Source organism: Homo sapiens, chromosome Y, assembly GCF_000001405.40.
Source record: "Homo sapiens chromosome Y, GRCh38.p14 Primary Assembly".
Lineage (NCBI taxonomy): Eukaryota > Metazoa > Chordata > Mammalia > Primates > Hominidae > Homo > Homo sapiens.
The window spans coordinates 255947-275293 of NC_000024.10; the positions used below are offsets into that span (position 1 = coordinate 255947).

At 56.8% G+C, this 19347-nt stretch overlaps 1 annotated feature.

Moving 5' to 3' along the window:
- Positions 14974–15555: an enhancer, noted in NCBI's record as "H3K4me1 hESC enhancer chrX:187587-188168 (GRCh37/hg19 assembly coordinates)". NCBI's record gives its function as "activates a minimal SCP1, AML or CMV promoter by ChIP-STARR-seq in naive H9 embryonic stem cells {active_cell/tissue: H9 hESC(naive)}" and the evidence as "EXISTENCE:reporter gene assay evidence [ECO:0000049][PMID:30033119]".

Consider the following 19347-nt stretch of genomic DNA (forward strand, 5'->3'; position numbering starts at 1 on the left):
TCTGCCGGTAACACGGTGTTTCGGCCACAGCCTTGGAACTGATCGCAGCATCCCGGCTCCATCCAGGGGTCACGGGCTTTGGGGTGAGAGGAGGCCCCCGTTTACCCCTTCACTGGCTGAGCCGAGAGCCGCTCCCAGGGCAGCTTCGTGCGTTGGCCTCCGTGCGGGGGTGCTGGGCCGGCGTCAGCGGCCCCCCGCACGCTCATTCCCGCAGCAGCGTCGGGTTCACAGCGGGCAATAAAGGCAGCCGTTCTTCAAAGTCAGCTCGGTTGTGGCTGCCGTGGGGACGTCAGTCACAGCCGAGGGACCAAGCACTGGGCCTCTGTGTGGCATAAGTCCTGCCTGGGGCTGTGCAGATCCCCCTTACACACCTCATGGCCCCGTAAGCTCACCGGCCCTCCCAGAAGTCATCTGTGCGAGACAGAAGGCGTCTCTGCGGAATTCTAACTCCCCGCCCAGAAGTGACTGATAGGATGAACAAGGTTTTCTAATTGGCGTAAATATGTATATAATGAGCATTTTATTTTTTTTGAGACGGAGTCTCGCTCTGTCGCCCAGGCTGGAGTGCAGTGGTGTGATCTCAGCTCACTGCAAGCTCCGCCTCCCGGGCTCACGCCGTTCTCCTGCCTCAGCCTCCCGAGTAGCTCGGACTACAGGCGCCCGCCACCACGCCTGGCTAATTTTTTGTATTTTTAGTAGAGACGGGGTTTCACTGTGTTAACCAGGATGGTCTCAATCTCCTGAACTCATGATCCGCCCGCCTCGGCCTCCCAAAGTGCTGGGATGACAGGCGTGAGCCACTGCGCCCGGCGAACAATGTTTCCAAATTGTGGTAAATATATATATAATTAGCACTTTGTGTTTTTTTTTTTGAGACGGAGTGTTGCTCTGTCACCCAGGCTGGAGTCCAGTGGCACAAACTCAGCTCACTGCAACCTCCGCCTCCCGGGTTCTAGCGATTCTCCTGCCTCAGCCTCCCAAGTAGCTGGAACCACAGGCGCCCGCCACCACGCCCGGCTAATTTTTGTTCTTTTAGGGTTTTGCCATGTTGGCCAGGCTGGTCTCGAACTCCTGACCTCCCGATCCGCCCGCCTCAGCCTCCCAAAGTGCTGGGATTATAGGTGTGAGCCACCACGCCCGGCTAATTTTTATATTTTTAGTAGAGATGAGGTTTCACCGTGTTGGCCAGGCTGCTCTTGAACTCCTGACCTCAGGTGATCCACCTGTCTCAAGCCAGGCAGGGTGGACAGGAGGGTGGGGAGTCTGGGAGCTCGGATGGAGTTGCGACGGGAGGCCCGGCTGGTTGCTGCTGCAACTGTGAGGCCAACGCCCAGGTTATTCTATGAATCGAGATGCTTTCACCTGCTGTGAGATTTACCACAAGACAGAGCTTTAAAAAATACTTTGCTTGGCTGGGCGCGGTGGCTCACGCCCGTAATCCCAGCACTTTGGGAGGCAGAGGCGGGTGGATCACCTGAGTTCAGGAGTTTGAGACCATCCTGGCCAACTTGGCAAAACCCCATCTGTACTAAAAATACAAAAATTAGCTGGGCGTGGTGGCGGGCACCTGTAATTCCCGCTACTCGGGAGGCTGAGGCAGGAGAATCGCTTGAACCGGGGAGGTGGAGGTTGCAGTGAGCCGAGATCGCTCCAGCCTGGGCGACAAGAGTGAAACTCCATCTCAAAAAAAAAAAAAGTACTTTCCTTGAGCCGAGGAGCCAGGTTTCCCTCTCCACGTGCCGGAGCCAGTGTGGACGGAGCTCCTTGTATTGTCCAGGACTGCATGGGAAGGCTGAGGGCAGCCTGGATGAGTACGGGGAGGCCAGGATCCGGGCAGAGAGGGGTGGAGGGGTGCGAGGTGGCATAGGGGCCGGGGCCAGGGCCCTAAAGCAAAAGACTTCTGCAAAATCAGTGCTGTAAAAATAAGCGGAAAGTGGCCGGGCACGGTGGCTCATGCCTGTGATCCCGGCGCTTTGGGAGGCTGAGGCGGTTGGATCACCTGAGGTCAGGAGTTTGAGGGGGGCCTCTGCCTCCCTCCCACCGTGTTGGGGACATCGTGACCCCCCAAGACCGCCTGGGATGGTACAGCCGGCCCCTGCAGCACCCCCTGCATCCACCCCCAGAGCTGGGCTCTGCTGCTGGGACCTGACTGTGGCCACTGCCCTCCCAGGGTAATCGGCGGTGGGGGGTGAGCATGGGGATTCCACAGACCATCCCGGTCTTCCAACCCTAACCCTGGCCCCTGGCCAGCCTGGGAGACGCTGCCTGACCTTGCAGGTCCCTCTGACCTGCTGACTGTGGGTGTCCACACCTCACCTCACAGAGCAAACAGGAACCACACACAGGGAAGCTTCCTCCCTCCATTCCTGTCCTCAGGTCCCTAAGGGCCCCTGGGGGGCTTCCAGCTGCCAACACTGCAATGGTGTATGGGTATGGGGGTGGGGAGCCCTTGAGGGACTCCCAGGGAGGGGGTCTCTAGTTGGGGAGAGGCTGCGAACCCCTAGGGGAAATGGTGGAGGCTCCCACATCCATGGGGTGGGTGTGGGGGTGTCTGTGTGAACCAGCTCATAGAGACCCACCCCATGCTCAGTGCCATTGGCTCAAAGGTGCAGCAGGAGGCCCCTCTGGTGACGTGAGCCACCCGGGCACCCAGCTGGGCCCCCACAGGGCTGGGCTTGCCCCTCATCTCAGCAACCTGCCTCATCTGTCCTGAACCTCAGCGTGGTCACCCGTGAGGTGGGAGGGGACCTGCTTGGGAGCCAGCAGAGGGTCTCTGGGACCTGCCAGGCAATGGCTTTGCACACACGTCACCTGCATGCATGGTGCATTCAGGAGAGAGCACAGGCCGTCATGAGAGGAAGGGACACACAAAATGTGCTCTGTCCACAGAGTGGAATAGTATGCAGCCATGAAAAGGAACGGGGTTCTGACACATGGTCTCCTTGTGGAGTCATGAGAATGTGCTGGAGCTAAAGAGAGGGGGGTAGCTAGAGAGAGGTGGGGTAGCTACAGAGAGGTGGGGTAGCTAGAGAGTGGGGGTAGCTAGAGAGGGGGATAGCTAGAGAGAGGTGGGGTAGCTAGAGAGAGTGGGGGGAGCTAGAGACAGTGGGGGTAGCTAGAGGGGGTGTAGCTAGAGACAGTGGGGGTAGCTAGAGAGGGGGATAGCTAGAGAGAGTGGGGATAGCTAGAGAGGGGGGGGTAGCTAGAGAGAGGTGGGGTAGCTAGAGAGGGGGATAGCTAGAGAGAGGTGGGGTAGCTAGAGAGGGGGATAGCTAGAGAGAGGTGGGGTAGCTAGAGAGGGGGATAGCTAGAGAGAGGTGGGGTAGCTAGAGAGGGGGATAGCTAGAGAGAGGTGGGGTAGCTAGAGAGAGTGGGGGTAGCTGGGGGGGGTAGCTAGAGAGAGGTGGGGGTAGCTAGAGAGAGGTGGGGTAGCTAGAGAGGGGGATAGCTAGAGAGAGGTGGGGTAGCTAGAGAGAGTGGGGGTAGCTGGGGGGGGTAGCTAGAGAGAGGTGGGGGTAGCTAGAGAGAGGTGGGGTAGCTAGAGAGGGGGATAGCTAGAGAGAGGTGGGGTAGCTAGAGAGGGGGATAGCTAGAGAGAGGTGGGGAGTAGTTAGAGAGGGGGATAGCTAGAGAGAGGCGGGGGTAGCTAGAGACAGTGGGGGGAGCTAGAGACAGTGGGGGTAGCTAGAGGGGGGGATAGCTAGAGAGAGGTGGGGTAGCTAGAGACAGTGGGGGGAGCTAGAGACAGTGGGGGTAGCTGGGGGGGGTAGCTAGAGAGAGTGGGGGTTGCATCTGACAGTGAGTGTTTGTGGAAGAGAGAGCAACTCCATCTGGAATGCTGATCCACCTGTTCACTTCTGACCAACCGCTGCTCTGGGAAGGTCTCTAAGATGATTTTGCTACTTTCTCCAATGTGACCTCAATAGCCTGGACCATAAACCCTGCCCTGGGGCAGGTGCACGTGGCTGTCCCTGAGGCACCTTCCCTGACCGTGAGGGCCCCCCTCCCTCCCACCAACGTTTTCCTGCATATTCCTCCCTGGGGTGAAGCCCTGGGTCTGCAGGGACGACCGGGATCCACTCTCCTCGCAGACACGGCTTCTGTTCTTACATCTCTGCTAAGTATTTCTTTCGGAGAATCTGGATTAGTCAGCTTCTTCCTTCAGCTCTCAGCTTCCTCGACCTCCGGGGTGTGGTTTGCACAGACCCGGCCCCTGCGGAAACAGGTGCTAAATGCTAGTGAATGGACCCATTAGAATAGTTAATTCTGGCCGGGCACGGTGAAAATGGTTAACTGTGGCCGGGCGCGGTGGCTCACACCTGTAATCCGAGCACTTTGGGAGACCGAGGTGGGCGGATCATGAGGTCAGGAGTTTGAGACCAGCCTGGCTGAGGCAGGAGAATTGCTTGAACCTGGTGTAATGTGAAAAAAAAACCAGTACGAAGCACAGCTCACAAGGCCTTCCCCCTTTAGGCTTAGAACAATAGCGGGGCGCAGTGGCTCACGCCTGTAATCCCAGCACTTTGGGAGGCCAAGGCAGGCGGATCACGAGGTCAGGAGGTCGAGACCATCCTGACTAACCTGGTGAAACCCCGTCTCTACTAAAAATACAAAAAATTAGCCGGGTGTGGTGGCGGGTGCCTGTAGTCCCAGCTACTCGGGAGGCTGAGGCAGATAAATAATTGCTTGAACCCAGGAGGTGGAGGTTGTGGTGAGCCGAGATCACGCCACTGCACTCCAGCCTGGGCGACAGAGCGAGACTCCATCTCAAAAAAAAAAAAAAAAAAAAAAAAATGAAGCCTGCAATCCCAGCACTTTGGGAGGCTGAGGCAGGTGGATCACGAGGTCAGGAGTTCAAGACCAGCCTGGCCAAGATGGTGAAACGCCGTCTCTACTAAAAATAAAAGAAATTAGCCAGACATGGTGGCGGGTGCCCGTCATCCCAGCTACTCCGGAGGCTGAGGCAGGAGAATCGCTTGAACCCGGGAGGCGGAGCTTGCAGTGAGCCGAGATGGCACCATTGCACTCCAGCCCGGGCAACAAGAGCGAAACTCCGTCTCAAAACAGAAAAAAATATAGGGTCTCAAACCACACCTCATGAAGCCCAGGGATGGGCTTTTGGGGTGGGCCCCACCGTGAGGTATGTGGGTTTCAAAGCAGTTCTCTGGGGGCACAGAGCACCTTGGGAATCAGCAGGGAAAATGGATCTGGGCAGGCTCCGGCCCTGACATGGACCTGGGGTTCCGGGGACCCCTCTTCTGGGCCAGCCAGGCCCCCTTGCGCCTGTGCCCCTCTGGCGACGTACCCCGGCCTTTGCAAGCTGTGTGCGCTCTTCCCACCACCTCCAGGCGGTGCACGGCGTCTGCCTGGGACGAGGACTCCAGAGGCTTCTGTGGAATCTGCCGCTGCCTTCCAAGGCCGGCACCTCCTGCCCCTGCTATCCTTTGACCTTGGGGTTCCCGTCCGAGCCACGGCTGTGACCTCGCGCCCCCAGGAGCTGGCTTTTCTTTATCCTCCTTGGTCTTCCTGTCACCGCCCAAGGGGCTCACCTCGCCGGCTGCGTGGACAGAGTGATTTATCACTACCACAAAGCTGCAATCCCAGCCGGCTGCGTGGGAGGCCGGAGTTTCCTTATTCCTCAAATCCGTCTCCCCAGAGACCCTGGGACTGGAGTTTTTCAGGATAATTTGCTGGGTAGGAGGTCAGAAAGTGGGGAGTGCTGATTGGTTGGGTCAGAGATGGAATCACAGGGAGTCGAAGCTGTCGTCTGGCGCTGAGTCAGTTCCTGGGTGGGGGCCGCAGACCAGATTAGCCGGTTGATCATCTGGGTGGTGCCAGCTGATCCGTCCAGTGAAGGGTCTGTGACATATCTCAGCACTGATTGTAGGTTTCACAAAAGCGATGTGAGCAGGAGCAATTTGAGGAGGGTCAGAAACTTGCAGCCTCCAGAGGCCAGAGTCCTAAACCATCATTTCTAATCCAGGGGATAATCTCTTAGTCCTGTAAACACGGCCTAGTCCCCAGGCAAGAAGGAGGTTTGCACTGGGAAAGGGCTATTATCATCTTCGTGTCAAAGCTAAACTATAAACTAAGTTCCTCCCAAAGATAGTGTGGGTGACACCCATGAGTGAAGAAGGACAGCTTGGAGACAGCTTGGAGACAGCTTGCAGACAGCGTGGAAGTTCGAAGCAAGACGGACTCAGTGAGGTTAGCTCTCCTTCACTGCCCTAATGTTCTCACTTACAATTTTATCAGGCCGGGCGCGGTGGCTCATGCCTGTAATCCCACCACTCTGGGAGGCTGAGGTGGGAGGATCACAGCGTCAGGGGTTTGAGACCAGCCTGGCCAATGTGGTAAAACCCCGTCTCTAATAAAAATACGAAAACTAGCCGAGTATGGTGGTGGGTGCCTGTGGTCCCAGCTACCCAGGAGCTTGAGACAGGTGAATGGCTCGAACATGGGAGGCGAAGGTTGCAGTGAGCCGAGATCGCGCCACTGCCCTGCAGCCTGGGTGACAGAGCGAGACTCTGTCTTAAAAAAAAAAAAAAGAAAGAAAAATTGTTTTTGCAAAAATGGTTTCAATCTCAGGGAGTAGAGCCCTTTCCTGTGGGACCCGCCTTGCCCAGCTCCCTAGCTCCCTCCCTGCCCGGCCACCCTGCAGGATGCCAGGGTTGGGGGTCTCTGGGGGTTACCAAGGAGGCCCACCTGTTCCTGGGGGCTGCCTAGAGAGCCCCCACCCACGGGGAGCTGAGGGCCTCAGAGGAGGAGCAGAGACTCCAGTTCCTGCTAGGGTCAGTTGAGGTTATCTGTAGTTAATTTTTATCTAAAAAGTGATGCAAGCTTATTTTTAAAATGCAAACAGGCCGGTGAAGTGGCTCACGCCTGTAATCCCAGCACCTTGGGAGGCTGAGGTTGGGGGATCGCTTGAGCCCCAGATTTAGAGACCAGCCGGGGCAACATAGCCAGGTCCTGTCTCTACAAAAAATAATAATTATAAATAAATAAAAATAAAAATTCAACTGTAAAGATGTTTATAAAGTAAAAAAGGAAAAAATGTCTTTTTTAACCTCTCCTATTCTTCAGAAAAGGTAACCTATTCATAGTCAATACTTATTTGTAATCATTCAATTTGCAATTTAATTAATCATTGAATTTTACATACAATTTGCATTTTTGTTTTTAATCATTCAATGTGAAATTATATAATGTCAACTTACCCATTTCAAAGTGTGCACTGCAGTGGCATTTAGTAGTCACAAGCTTGGCAGGATCTTTTTTTTTTTTTTTTTTTGAGATAATCTCTCTCTCTAGGTCTGTCACCCAGGCTGGAGTGCAGTGGCGTGATCTCGGCTCACCACAACCTCCACCTCCCGGGTTCAAGTAATTCTGCCTCAGCCTCCCGAGTAGCTGGGACTACAGGCGCCCGCCACCACACCCGGCTGATTTTTTGTATTTTTAGTAGAGACGAGGTTTCACCATGTTAGCCAGGATGGTCTCCATCCTCTGACCTCGTGATCCACCCGCCTCGGCCTCCCAAAGTGCTGGGATGACAGGCGTGAGCCACCGCGCCCGGCCGCGGAGTTTTATTTTTTATTTTATTTATTTATTTATTTATTTATTTATTTATTTATTTTTGAGATGGAGTCTCGCTCTTTCACCCAGGCTGGAGTGTCTCAAAAAAGGAAATGAAATATATATATGTGTATATGAAGAAGAGTAAGATGGAATATATTTTACAACAATCAGTGTATATGGCCTGTATACCTGAAATAAAAGAGGAAACCAGCTGTGGTCAAAAACTGAATCAGGGGCCGGACGCGGTGGCTCACGCCTGTAATCCCAGCACTTTGGGAGGCCGAGGCAGGTGGATCACATGAGGTCAGGAGTTCGAGACCAGCCTGGCCAACATGGTGAAAAACAGTCTCTGCTAAAAATACAAAAAATTAGCCGGGTGTGGTGGCGGGCACCTGTAATCCCAGGTACTCACTTGGGAGGCTGAGGCAGGAGAATCACTTGAACCTGGAAGGCGGAGGTTGCAGTGAGCCAAGATCGTGCCACTGCACTCCAGCCTGGGAGACAGAGTGAGACTCTGTCTCAAAAATAAAAGAAAAAAGATCAACCTGAGCCAGCACAGGCTTCTTGTACCCTGAGCTGTGGCTTCTTCCCTGCGTGGAAACAACAGGTGTCTGTCGTTGGCTTCAAGGTCGGCGGCGTCTGAACCGCCTCTAAGGGGCAGGGTTGGGGACAGTGGGGAATCCAGGTCCGGTCGGGAACGCCCGTGTGGATTTGCAGACGCTGTAGTTTTGGGGATGTGGAAGAAAAATAAGTCTTAGGCTGGGTGCGGTGGCTCATGCCTGTAATCTCAGCACTTTGGGAGGCTGAGGCAGGAGAATCGCTTGAACCCAGGAGGTGAAGGTTGCAGTGAGCCGAGATCGCGCCATTGCACTCCAGCCTGGGTGACAGACCGAGATTCTGTCTGAAAAATAAAAATAAAAAATAAAATAAAGTGGGCCGGGCGCGGTGGCTCAGGCCTGTCATCCCAGCACTTTGGGAGGCCTAGGTGGGTGGATCACGAGGTCAGGAGATCGAGACCATCCTGGCTAACACAGTGAAACCCCGTCTCTACTAAAAATACAAAAAATTAGCCGGGCATGATGGCTGGTGCCTGTAGTCTCAGCTACTCAGGAGGCTGAGGCAGAGAATGGCGTGAACCCGGGAGGCGGAGCTGGCAGTGACCCGAGATCGCGCCATTGCACTCCAGCCTGGGTGACAGAGCGAGACTCTGTTTCCACAAAAAAAAAGAAAGAAAGAAAGAAGAAAGAAAGAAAAAGAAAGAGAGAGAGAGAAAGAAAAGAAAGAAAGAAAAGAAAGAAAGAAAGAAAGAAGAAAGAAAGAAAGGAAAGAAAGAAAAGAAAGAAAGAAAGAAAAAGAAAGAAAGAAAGATAGAAAGAAAGAAAGAAAAGGACAGGACACACAGAAAGCAGAGAAACAGCTGCATTGGGTGTGGGTTGGCGTTTACCTTGTTTGAACCCGGTTGGAACATTTGGCTGCCTTTGGCTGAGATTCAGTGATTGCCACAAGAGTAGGTTCTGGTCTGTTGACACCTCCTGTTACGTCACAGTTCACTATGTACAGAGAAATCTTTAGGCCGAACTTAAAATATGTTGGGAGGCAACTTCAGGAACCATCAATATTGTAGACAGAAGTTTCTCTTTTCACCTTTTTTGGTAGACACAGGATTTCACTGTGTCCCCCAGGCTGGAGTGCAGCCTCGACCTCCTAGACTCAAGTGATCCTCCCTCCTCAGCCTCCTGAGTAGCTGGGACTACAGGAGGAGGGAAGAGGTCTCTGTAGCTGGTCCTACAAGTGCACACCACTACGCCCAGCTAATTTTTATATTTTTTGTAGAGACAGGGTCTTGCCATGTTGCTCAGGCTCGTCTGGAACTCCTGGGCTCAAGCGATCTGCCTGCCTCGGCCTCTCCCAAAAGTGCTGGTTTTTCAATCTCTGTTGACTTGATCAGTGGAAAATGGTAATCGATTTTAACGTTCAATACCGGTGTGTGGTAGCATATATTTGTATGTGTTTTGACAACTCTATGCAAAGTCGAGTGATTCTCCTGCTGTGTGTGATCAGAGGACATTTTGGGACATTTAGGGCTGTGTTACAATTTTAAGCGTGGGGACTTGGAGTATGAATGATTAGCATGGGACCAGGTGGGCAGGTGCGCCTGGCATCAGGGGTGAGAGGGCCGCATACCTGACTCCACTCCTCATCCCTGACTTCCTTCTCCAGCTCAGCTGTGGCACGGGCACCCTTGTGCCAGAGGAAACGGGCACTTTTTTCTTTCTCTTTCTTTTCCTTCCCTCCCTCCCTCCCTCTCTCTCTCTCTCTCTTTCTTCTTTCTTTTTTTCTTTTCTTTTCTTTTTGGAGACGGAGTCTATTGCTGTCCCCCAGGCTGGAGTGCAATGGCACGATCTCCACTCACTGCAAGCTCCGCCTCCCGGGTTCACGCCATTCTCCTGCCTCAGCCTCCCGAGTAGCTGGGACTACAGGCGCCCGCCACCACGCCCGGCTAATTTTTTGTATTTTTAGTAGAGACGGGGTTTCACCGTGTTAGCCAGGATGGTGTCGATCTCCTGACCTCGTGATCCACCTGCCTCGGCCTCCCAAAGTGCTGGGATGACAGGCGTGAGCCATCGCGCCCGGCTGATTCCTGTTCCTTCTGCCCCTCTCTGGAGGTGTCTGCTTCTGGCTTCTGACTCTGCTTCCCAGGCTGTAGGAATAGCTCCCCTGCGCCTAACCCCTTATGAGAAACAAAGCTGTCCTTTGCAGCCTCACCATTCTTTTTTTGTTTTGTTTTTTGTTTGTTTGTTTGTTTTTTTGAAACAGAGTCTGGTTCTGTCCCCCACGCTGGAGTGCCATGGCTAGATCTTGGCTCACTCCAACTTCCGCCTTCCGGGTTCAAGTGATTCTCCTGCCTCAGCCTCTCAAGGAGCTAGGATTACAGGTGAGCATCACCACACCCGGCTAATTTTTTATATTTTTGGTCTCGAACTCCTGACCTGAAGTGATCTGCCCGCCTCAGCCTCCCAAAGTGCTGAGATGACAGGCGTGAGGCACCGCACCTGTCCTTTTTTTTTTTTTTTTTTGAGATGGAGTTTCACTATTGCAGCCCAGGCTGGAGTGCAGTGGCACAACCTCGACTCACTGCAACCTCTGCCTCCTGGGTTCACGCAATTCTCCCGCCTCAGCCTCCCCAGTAGCTGGGATTACAGGCATTCACCACTATGGCTGGCTAATTTTTGTATTTTTAGTAGAGACGGGGTTTCACCATGTTGGCCAGGCTGGTCTTGAACTCCCGACCTCACGGATCCACCTGCCTCAGCCTCCCAAACTGCTGGGATGACAGGCGTGAGCCGCTGCACCCAGCCAGCCTTACCATTCTTTAGTCGATACTTATAATGCAAAATCGCGCCCTGCTTCCTGAACCCCCAAACCAGCAGAGAGAGGAGCTACAGACGTGGAGAATACTTTTTCCAGCGGTGTGATTTAGGAAGCCTATACGTGTTGCTCATAAAAATCAGTATCTCTGGCCGGGTGCGGTGGCTCACGCCTGTCATCCCAGCACTTTGGGAGGCCAAGGTGGGCGGATTGCCTGAGGTCGGGAGTTTGAGACCAGCCTGGCCAACATGATGAAACCCTGTCTCTACTAAATTAGCCGGGCGTGGTGGCGGGTGCCTGTAATCCCAGCTACTTGGGAGGCTGAGGCAGGAGAATCGCTTGAACCCGGGAGATGGAGGTTGCAGTGAGCCGCGATTATCTCAGCCTTCCCGGTAGATGGGATTACAGACGCGTGCCACCAGGCCCAGCTAAATTTTGTATTTTTTTTTTTTTGGTAGAGACAAGGTTTCATCATGTTGGCCATCCGCCCGCCTTGGCCTCCCAAAGTTGTGTCTTTTCTCTGGTAAAGGGGTAAGACTCAGCTTCGGAGACACAATTCTCTATCCTTTTCATGTCATTTTGCTTCTCGGCAAGGACAGGGGAAAACAGAATTGATGACTTTACTTTTATTTTTTATTTTTTGAGACGGAGACCAAGCTGGAGTGCAGGGGCGCGATCTCGGCTCACTGCAACCTCCGCCTCCCCTTTTCAAGCGATTCTCTGCCTCAGCCTCTGGAGTAGCTGGGATTACAGGCACCCGCCACCTCGCCCGGCTATTTTTTTTTTTTTTTTTTTTTTTAGTAGAGACGGGATTTCACCATGTTGCCCAGGCTGGTCTCGAACTCCAGAGCTCAGCTCAGGCAATCCACGCGTCTGGGCCTCCCAGAGTGTTCGGATGACAGGCGTGAGCCACCACGCCCGGCCCGGCGACGGTTTTAAACAAGGCAGCTCGGAACAGAGCAGCTTCGGGAATCGCACCTGCAGAATGAGATCACGTAGCCTCCGGTCTCGGCTCACGCAGGTGTGCTCTGAGCCCGTCACGGCCCGGCCTGAGGCCCCGTGAGCCGTGCGGCTGCCCCATGCTGTTGAAACCCGGGTCCGGGGCTCCCAGCTTTGTGCCTCTGTTCCCGGCGACGCCCGCACGGTGCCACCTCTCAGAGACCCTCCCTGCTGGCTCTCAACCACCCGTGACAACTGCGAGCCGGAAACAGGGTGGGATAATACCTTGGACCCAATAAAGGTGCTGGCCCAGGGTCCCTCTCTGCTGCATTCCTCACCACCCAGTGTGGGTGGGGCCTGCAGGGCCCGGGACCCATAAATAATCAAATCCTTACCTCCGCCTGGGTGGGACCTGCAGGACCCGGGACCCATAAATAATCAAATCCTTACCTCCGCCTGGGTGGGGCCTGCAGCACCCGGGACCCATAAATAATCAAATCCTTACCTCCGCCTGGGCGGGGCCTGCAGGACCCGGGACCCATAAATAATCAAATCCTTACCTCCGCCTGGGCGGGGCCTGCAGCACCCGGGACCCATAAATAATCAAATCCTTACCTCCGCCTGGGTGGGGCCTGCAGGACCCGGGACCCATAAATAATCAAATCCTTACCTCCGCCTGGGCGGGGCCTGCAGCACCCGGGACCCATAAATAATCAAATCCTTACCTCCGCCTGGGCGGGGCCTGCAGCACCCGGGACCCATAAATAATCAAATCCTTACCTCCGCCTGGGTGGGGCCTGCAGCACCCGGGACCCATAAATAATCAAATCCTTACCTCCGCCTGGGTGGGGCCTGCAGCACCCGGGACCCATAAATAATCAAATCCTTACCTCCGCCTGGGCGGGGCCTGCAGGACCCGGGACCCATAAATAATCAAATCCTTACCTCCGCCTGCGTGGGACCTGCAGGACCCGGGACCCATAAATAATCAAATCCTTAGCTCCGCCTGGGTGGGGCCTGCAGGACCCGGGACCCATAAATAATCAAATCCTTACCTCCGCCTGGGTGGGGCCTGCAGCGCCCGGGACCCATAAATAATCAAATCCTTACCTCCGCCTGGGTGGGGCCTGCAGCACCCGGGATCCATAAATAATCAAATCCTTACCTCCGCCTGGGTGGGGCCTGCAGGACCCGGGACCCATAAATAATCAAATCCTTACCTCCGCCTGGGCGGGGCCTGCAGGACCCGGGACCCATAAATAATCAAATCCTTACCTCCGCCTGGGCGGGGCCTGCAGCACCCGGGACCCATAAATAATCAAATCCTTACCTCCGCCTGGGCGGGGCCTGCAGGACCCGGGACCCATAAATAATCAAATCCTTACCTCCGCCTGGGTGGGGACTGCAGCACCCGGGACCCATAAATAATCAAATCCTTACCTCCGCCTGGGCGGGGCCTGCAGGACCCGGGATCCATAAATAATCAAATCCTTACCTCCGCCTGGGCGGGGCCTGCAGGACCCGGGACCCATAAATAATCAAATCCTTACCTCCGCCTGGGCGGGGCCTGCAGGACCCGGGACCCATAAATAATCAAATCCTTACCTCCGCCTGGGTGGGGCCTGCAGGACCCGGGACCCATAAATAATCAAATCCTTACCTCCGCCTGGGTGGGGCCTGCAGCACCCGGGACCCATAAATAATCAAATCCTTACCTCCGCCTGGGCGGGGACTGCAGCACCCGGGACCCATAAATAATCAAATCCTTACCTCCGCCTGGGTGGGGCCTGCAGCGCCCGGGACCCATAAATAATCAAATCCTTACCTCCGCCTGGGTGGGGCCTGCAGGACCCGGGACCCATAAATAATCAAATCCTTACCTCCGCCTGGGCGGGGCCTGCAGGGCCCGGGACCCATAAATAATCAAATCCTTAGCTCCGCCTGGGTGGGGCCTGCAGGACCCGGGACCCATAAATAATCAAATCCTTACCTCCGCCTGGGTGGGGCCTGCAGGACCCGGGACCCATAAATAATCAAATCCTTACCTCCGCCTGGGTGGGGCCTGCAGCACCCGGGACCCATAAATAATCAAATCCTTACCTCCGCCTGGGCGGGGCCTGCAGGACCCGGGACCCATAAATAATCAAATCCTTACCTCCGCCTGGGTGGGGCCTGCAGCGCCCGGGACCCATAAATAATCAAATCCTTACCTCCGCCTGGGCGGGGCCTGCAGGACCCGGGACCCATAAATAATCAAATCCTTACCTCCGCCTGGGTGGGGCCTGCAGCACCCGGGATCCATAAATAATCAAATCCTTACCTCCGCCTGGGTGGGGCCTGCAGCGCCCGGGACCCATAAATAATCAAATCCTTACCTCCGCCTGGGCGGGGCCTGCAGCACCCGGGACCCATAAATAATCAAATCCTTACCTCCGCCTGGGTGGGGCCTGCAGCACCCGGGACCCATAAATAATCAAATCCTTACCTCCGCCTGCGTGGGACCTGCAGCACCCGGGACCCATAAATAATCAAATCCTTACCTCCGCCTGGGTGGGGCCTGCAGCACCCGGGACCCATAAATAATCAAATCCTTACCTCCGCCTGCGTGGGACCTGCAGCACCCGGGACCCATAAATAATCAAACCCTTACCTCCGCCTGGGCGGGGCCTGCAGCACCCGGGACCCATAAATAATCAAATCCTTACCTCCGCCTGGGTGGGGCCTGCAGCACCCGGGACCCATAAATAATCAAATCCTTACCTCCGCCTGGGTGGGGCCTGCAGCACCCGGGACCCATAAATAATCAAATCCTTACCTCCGCCTGGGCGGGGCCTGCAGCACCCGGGACCCATAAATAATCAAATCCTTACCTCCGCCTGCGTGGGACCTGCAGGACCCGGGACCCATAAATAATCAAATCCTTACCTCCGCCTGGGTGGGGCCTGCAGCACCCGGGATCCATAAATAATCAAATCCTTACCTCCGCCTGGGTGGGGCCTGCAGGCCGGCCGTGGATGCAGGACTGGTAAATAGTCAAACCTTTATCTCCGCCTGGTGTCTCTCCTAGCCATTGGAGGGGTGCTCCCCATGCTAAATATTCGAAACTCAAACGCGGGGTCATGGGATTTTCTAGTGCAGGAGAGGGTTTTCCATTCCAGGAAGCAGCTGGACCAAGGGCTTCCGTGCCCGGCCTTGGGAGGGGTTTGCAAACACCCCTTGTCGGACACAAGGGCACGGTCAACAGGGAAGTCACAGCCATTTACAGGGGCTCACACTTGGCCCACTTCACTCAAGCACCCTTCACAACCCTCGGCTCGCAGAACACAGGCAGCACCGAGGCACGGACGACACGTCCCTCAGCCCACGTGATGTCCTCCCCTCGTGTCCAGCCCACACCTGGCCGCCCAGGACACAGAGGGAGGAAGGGCTGGGCCCCGAGACCACAGTCCACATCACACCAGGACAGAGGAAGGGCCGGGCACTGTGACCTCCGGTCCTCATGACCCTGGGGCACAGCGGGAGGAAGGGCCAGGCCCTGTGACCACAGTCCACATCACACCAGGACACAGAGGAAGGGCCGGGCCCTGTGACCACAGTCCACATCACACCAGGACACAGAGGAAGGGCCGGGCCCTGTGACCACAGTCCACATCACACCAGGACACAGAGGAAGGGCCGGGCCCTGTGACCACAGTCCACATCACACCAGGACACAGAGGAAGGGCCGGGCCTCATGACCACAGTCCACATCACACCAGGACACAGAGGAAGGGCCGGGCCCTGTGACCACAGTCCACATCACACCAGGACACAGAGGAAGGGCCGGGCCCTGTGACCACAGTCCACATCACACCAGGACACAGAGGAAGGGCCGGGCCTCATGACCACAGTCCACATCACACCAGGACACAGAGGAAGGGCCGGGCCCTGTGACCACAGTCCACATCACACCAGGACACGGAGGAAGGGCCGGGCCCTGTGACCACAGTCCACATCACACCAGGACACAGAGGAAGGGCCGGGCCCTGTGACCACAGTCCACATCACACCAGGACACGGAGGAAGGGCCGGGCCCTGTGACCACAGTCCACATCACACCAGGACACAGAGGAAGGGCCGGGCCTCATGACCACAGTCCACATCACACCAGGACACAGAGGAAGGGCCGGGCCTCATGACCACAGTCCACATCACACCAGGACACAGAGGAAGGGCCGGGCCCTGTGACCACAGTCCACATCACACCAGGACACAGAGGAAGGGCCGGGCCTCATGACCACAGTCCACATCACACCAGGACACAGAGGAAGGGCCAGGCCCTGTGACCACAGTCCACATCACACCAGGACACAGAGGAAGGGCCGGGCCTCATGACCACAGTCCACATCACACCAGGACACGGAGGAAGGGCCGGGCCCTGTGACCACAGTCCACATCACACCAGGACACGGAGGAAGGGCCGGGCCCCGTGACCACAGTCCACATCACACCAGGACACAGAGGAAGGGCCGGGCCCCGTGACCACAGTCCACATCACACCAGGACACAGAGGAAGGGCCGGGCCCTGTGACCACAGTCCACATCACACCAGGACACAGAGGAAGGGCCGGGCCTCATGACCACAGTCCAGATCACACCAGGACACAGAGGAAGGGCCGGGCCCTGTGACCACAGTCCACATCACACCAGGACACAGAGGAAGGGCCGGGCCCTGTGACCACAGTCCACATCACACCAGGACACAGAGGAAGGGCCAGGCCTCATGACCACAGTCCACATCACACCAGGACACAGAGGAAGGGCCAGGCCTCATGACCACAGTCCACATCACACCAGGACACAGAGGAAGGGCCGGGCCCTGTGACCACAGTCCACATCACACCAGGACACAGAGGAAGGGCCGGGCCCTGTGACCACAGTCCACATCACACCAGGACACAGAGGAAGGGCCAGGCCTCATGACCACAGTCCACATCACACCAGGACACAGAGGAAGGGCCGGGCCCTGTGACCACAGTCCACATCACACCAGGACACAGAGGAAGGGCCGGGCCCTGTGACCACAGTCCACATCACACCAGGACAGAGGAAGGGCCGGGCCCTGTGACCACAGTCCACATCACACCAGGACACAGAGGAAGGGCCAGGCCCTGTGACCACAGTCCACATCACACCAGGACACGGAGGAAGGGCCAGGCCTCATGACCACAGTCCACATCACACCAGGACACAGAGGAAGGGCCAGGCCCTGTGACCACAGTCCACATCACACCAGGACACAGAGGAAGGGCCGGGCCTCATGACCACAGTCCACATCACACCAGGACACAGAGGAAGGGCCGGGCCCCATGACCACAGTCCACATCACACCAGGACACAGAGGAAGGGCCGGGCCCCGTGACCACAGTCCACATCACACCAGGACACAGAGGAAGGGCCGGGCCCCGTGACCACAGTCCACATCACACCAGGACACAGAGGAAGGGCCGGGCCCTGTGACCACAGTCCACATCACACCAGGACACAGAGGAAGGGCCGGGCCTCGTGACCACAGTCCAGATCACACCAGGACACAGAGGAAGGGCCGGGCCCCGTGACCACAGTCCAGATCACACCAGGACACAGAGGAAGGGCCGGGCCCCGTGACCACAGTCCACATCACACCAGGACACAGAGGAAGGGCCGGGCCCCGTGACCACAGTCCACATCACACCAGGACACAGAGGAAGGGCCGGGCCCCGTGACCACAGTCCACATCACACCAGGACACAGAGGAAGGGCCGGGCCCTGTGACCACAGTCCACATCACACCAGGACACAGAGGAAGGGCCGGGCCCTGTGACCACAGTCCACATCACACCAGGACACAGAGGAAGGGCCGGGCCCTGTGACCTCTGGTCCTCATGACTCTGGGGCACAGCGGGAGGAAGGGCCGGGCCCTGTGACCACAGTCCACATCACACCAGGACACAGAGGAAGGGCCGGGCCCTGTGACCACAGTCCACATCACACCAGGACACGGAGGAAGGGCCAGGCCTCATGACCACAGTCCAGATCACACCAGGACACAGAGGAAGGGCCGGGCCCTGTGACCACAGTCCAGATCACACCAGGACACAGAGGAAGGGCCGGGCCCTGTGACCACAGTCCACATCACACCAGGACACAGAGGAAGGGCCGGGCCTCGTGACCACAGTCCAGATCACACCAGGACACAGAGGAAGGGCCGGGCCCCGTGACCACAGTCCAGATCACACCAGGACACAGAGGAAGGGCCGGGCCCCGTGACCACAGTCCACATCACACCAGGACACAGAGGAAGGGCCGGGCCCCGTGACCACAGTCCACATCACACCAGGACACAGAGGAAGGGCCGGGCCCCGTGACCACAGTCCACATCACACCAGGACACAGAGGAAGGGCCGGGCCCCGTGACCACAGTCCACATCACACCAGGACACAGAGGAAGGGCCAGGCCTCATGACCACAGTCCACATCACACCAGGACACAGAGGAAGGGCCGGGCCCTGTGACCACAGTCCACATCACACCAGGACACGGAGGAAGGGCCGGGCCCTGTGACCACAGTCCACATCACACCAGGACACAGAGGAAGGGCCGGGCCTCATGACCACAGTCCACATCACACCAGGACACGGAGGAAGGGCCGGGCCCTGTGACCACAGTCCACATCACACCAGGACACAGAGGAAGGGCCGGGCCCTGTGACCACAGTCCACATCACACCAGGACACAGAGGAAGGGCCAGGCCTCATGACCACAGTCCACATCACACCAGGACACAGAGGAAGGGCCGGGCCCCGTGACCACAGTCCACATCACACCAGGACACAGAGGAAGGGCCGGGCCCTGTGACCACAGTCCACATCACACCAGGACACAGAGGAAGGGCCGGGCCTCATGACCACAGTCCACATCACACCAGGACACGGAGGAAGGGCCGGGCCCTGTGACCACAGTCCACATCACACCAGGACACAGAGGAAGGGCCGGGCCCTGTGACCACAGTCCACATCACACCAGGACACAGAGGAAGGGCCGGGCCCTGTGACCTCTGGTCCTCATGACTCTGGGGCACAGCGGGAGGAAGGGCCGGGCCCTGTGACTGTGGGAGGAGGCGTGGAAGCCGCTTCCTGCTCCCGTGCCACACCAGGGCACAGGTCATTTTATAGACTCTCCCAGGGCTGTGGAAGGAGGCGGGAACCAGGAGGCTGGTGTCCCCGCAGGGCCTCAGTGAAGGGAGGAGGGAGGAGGAGGAGGGAGGAGGGGGAGGGAGGAAACAGATGGGCCAAGAGGAAGCCACAGGGGGCTTTGGGCAGAGAGGGGGAGTCTCAATGGACAGGAAGAAGGAGGGAGAGGATGGAGAAGGAGCAGGGGGAGGAAGGAGGAGGGGGAGGAGGAGCAGGGGGGAGGGCGGAGTGTGGGGAGGTGACGGGGCCTGAG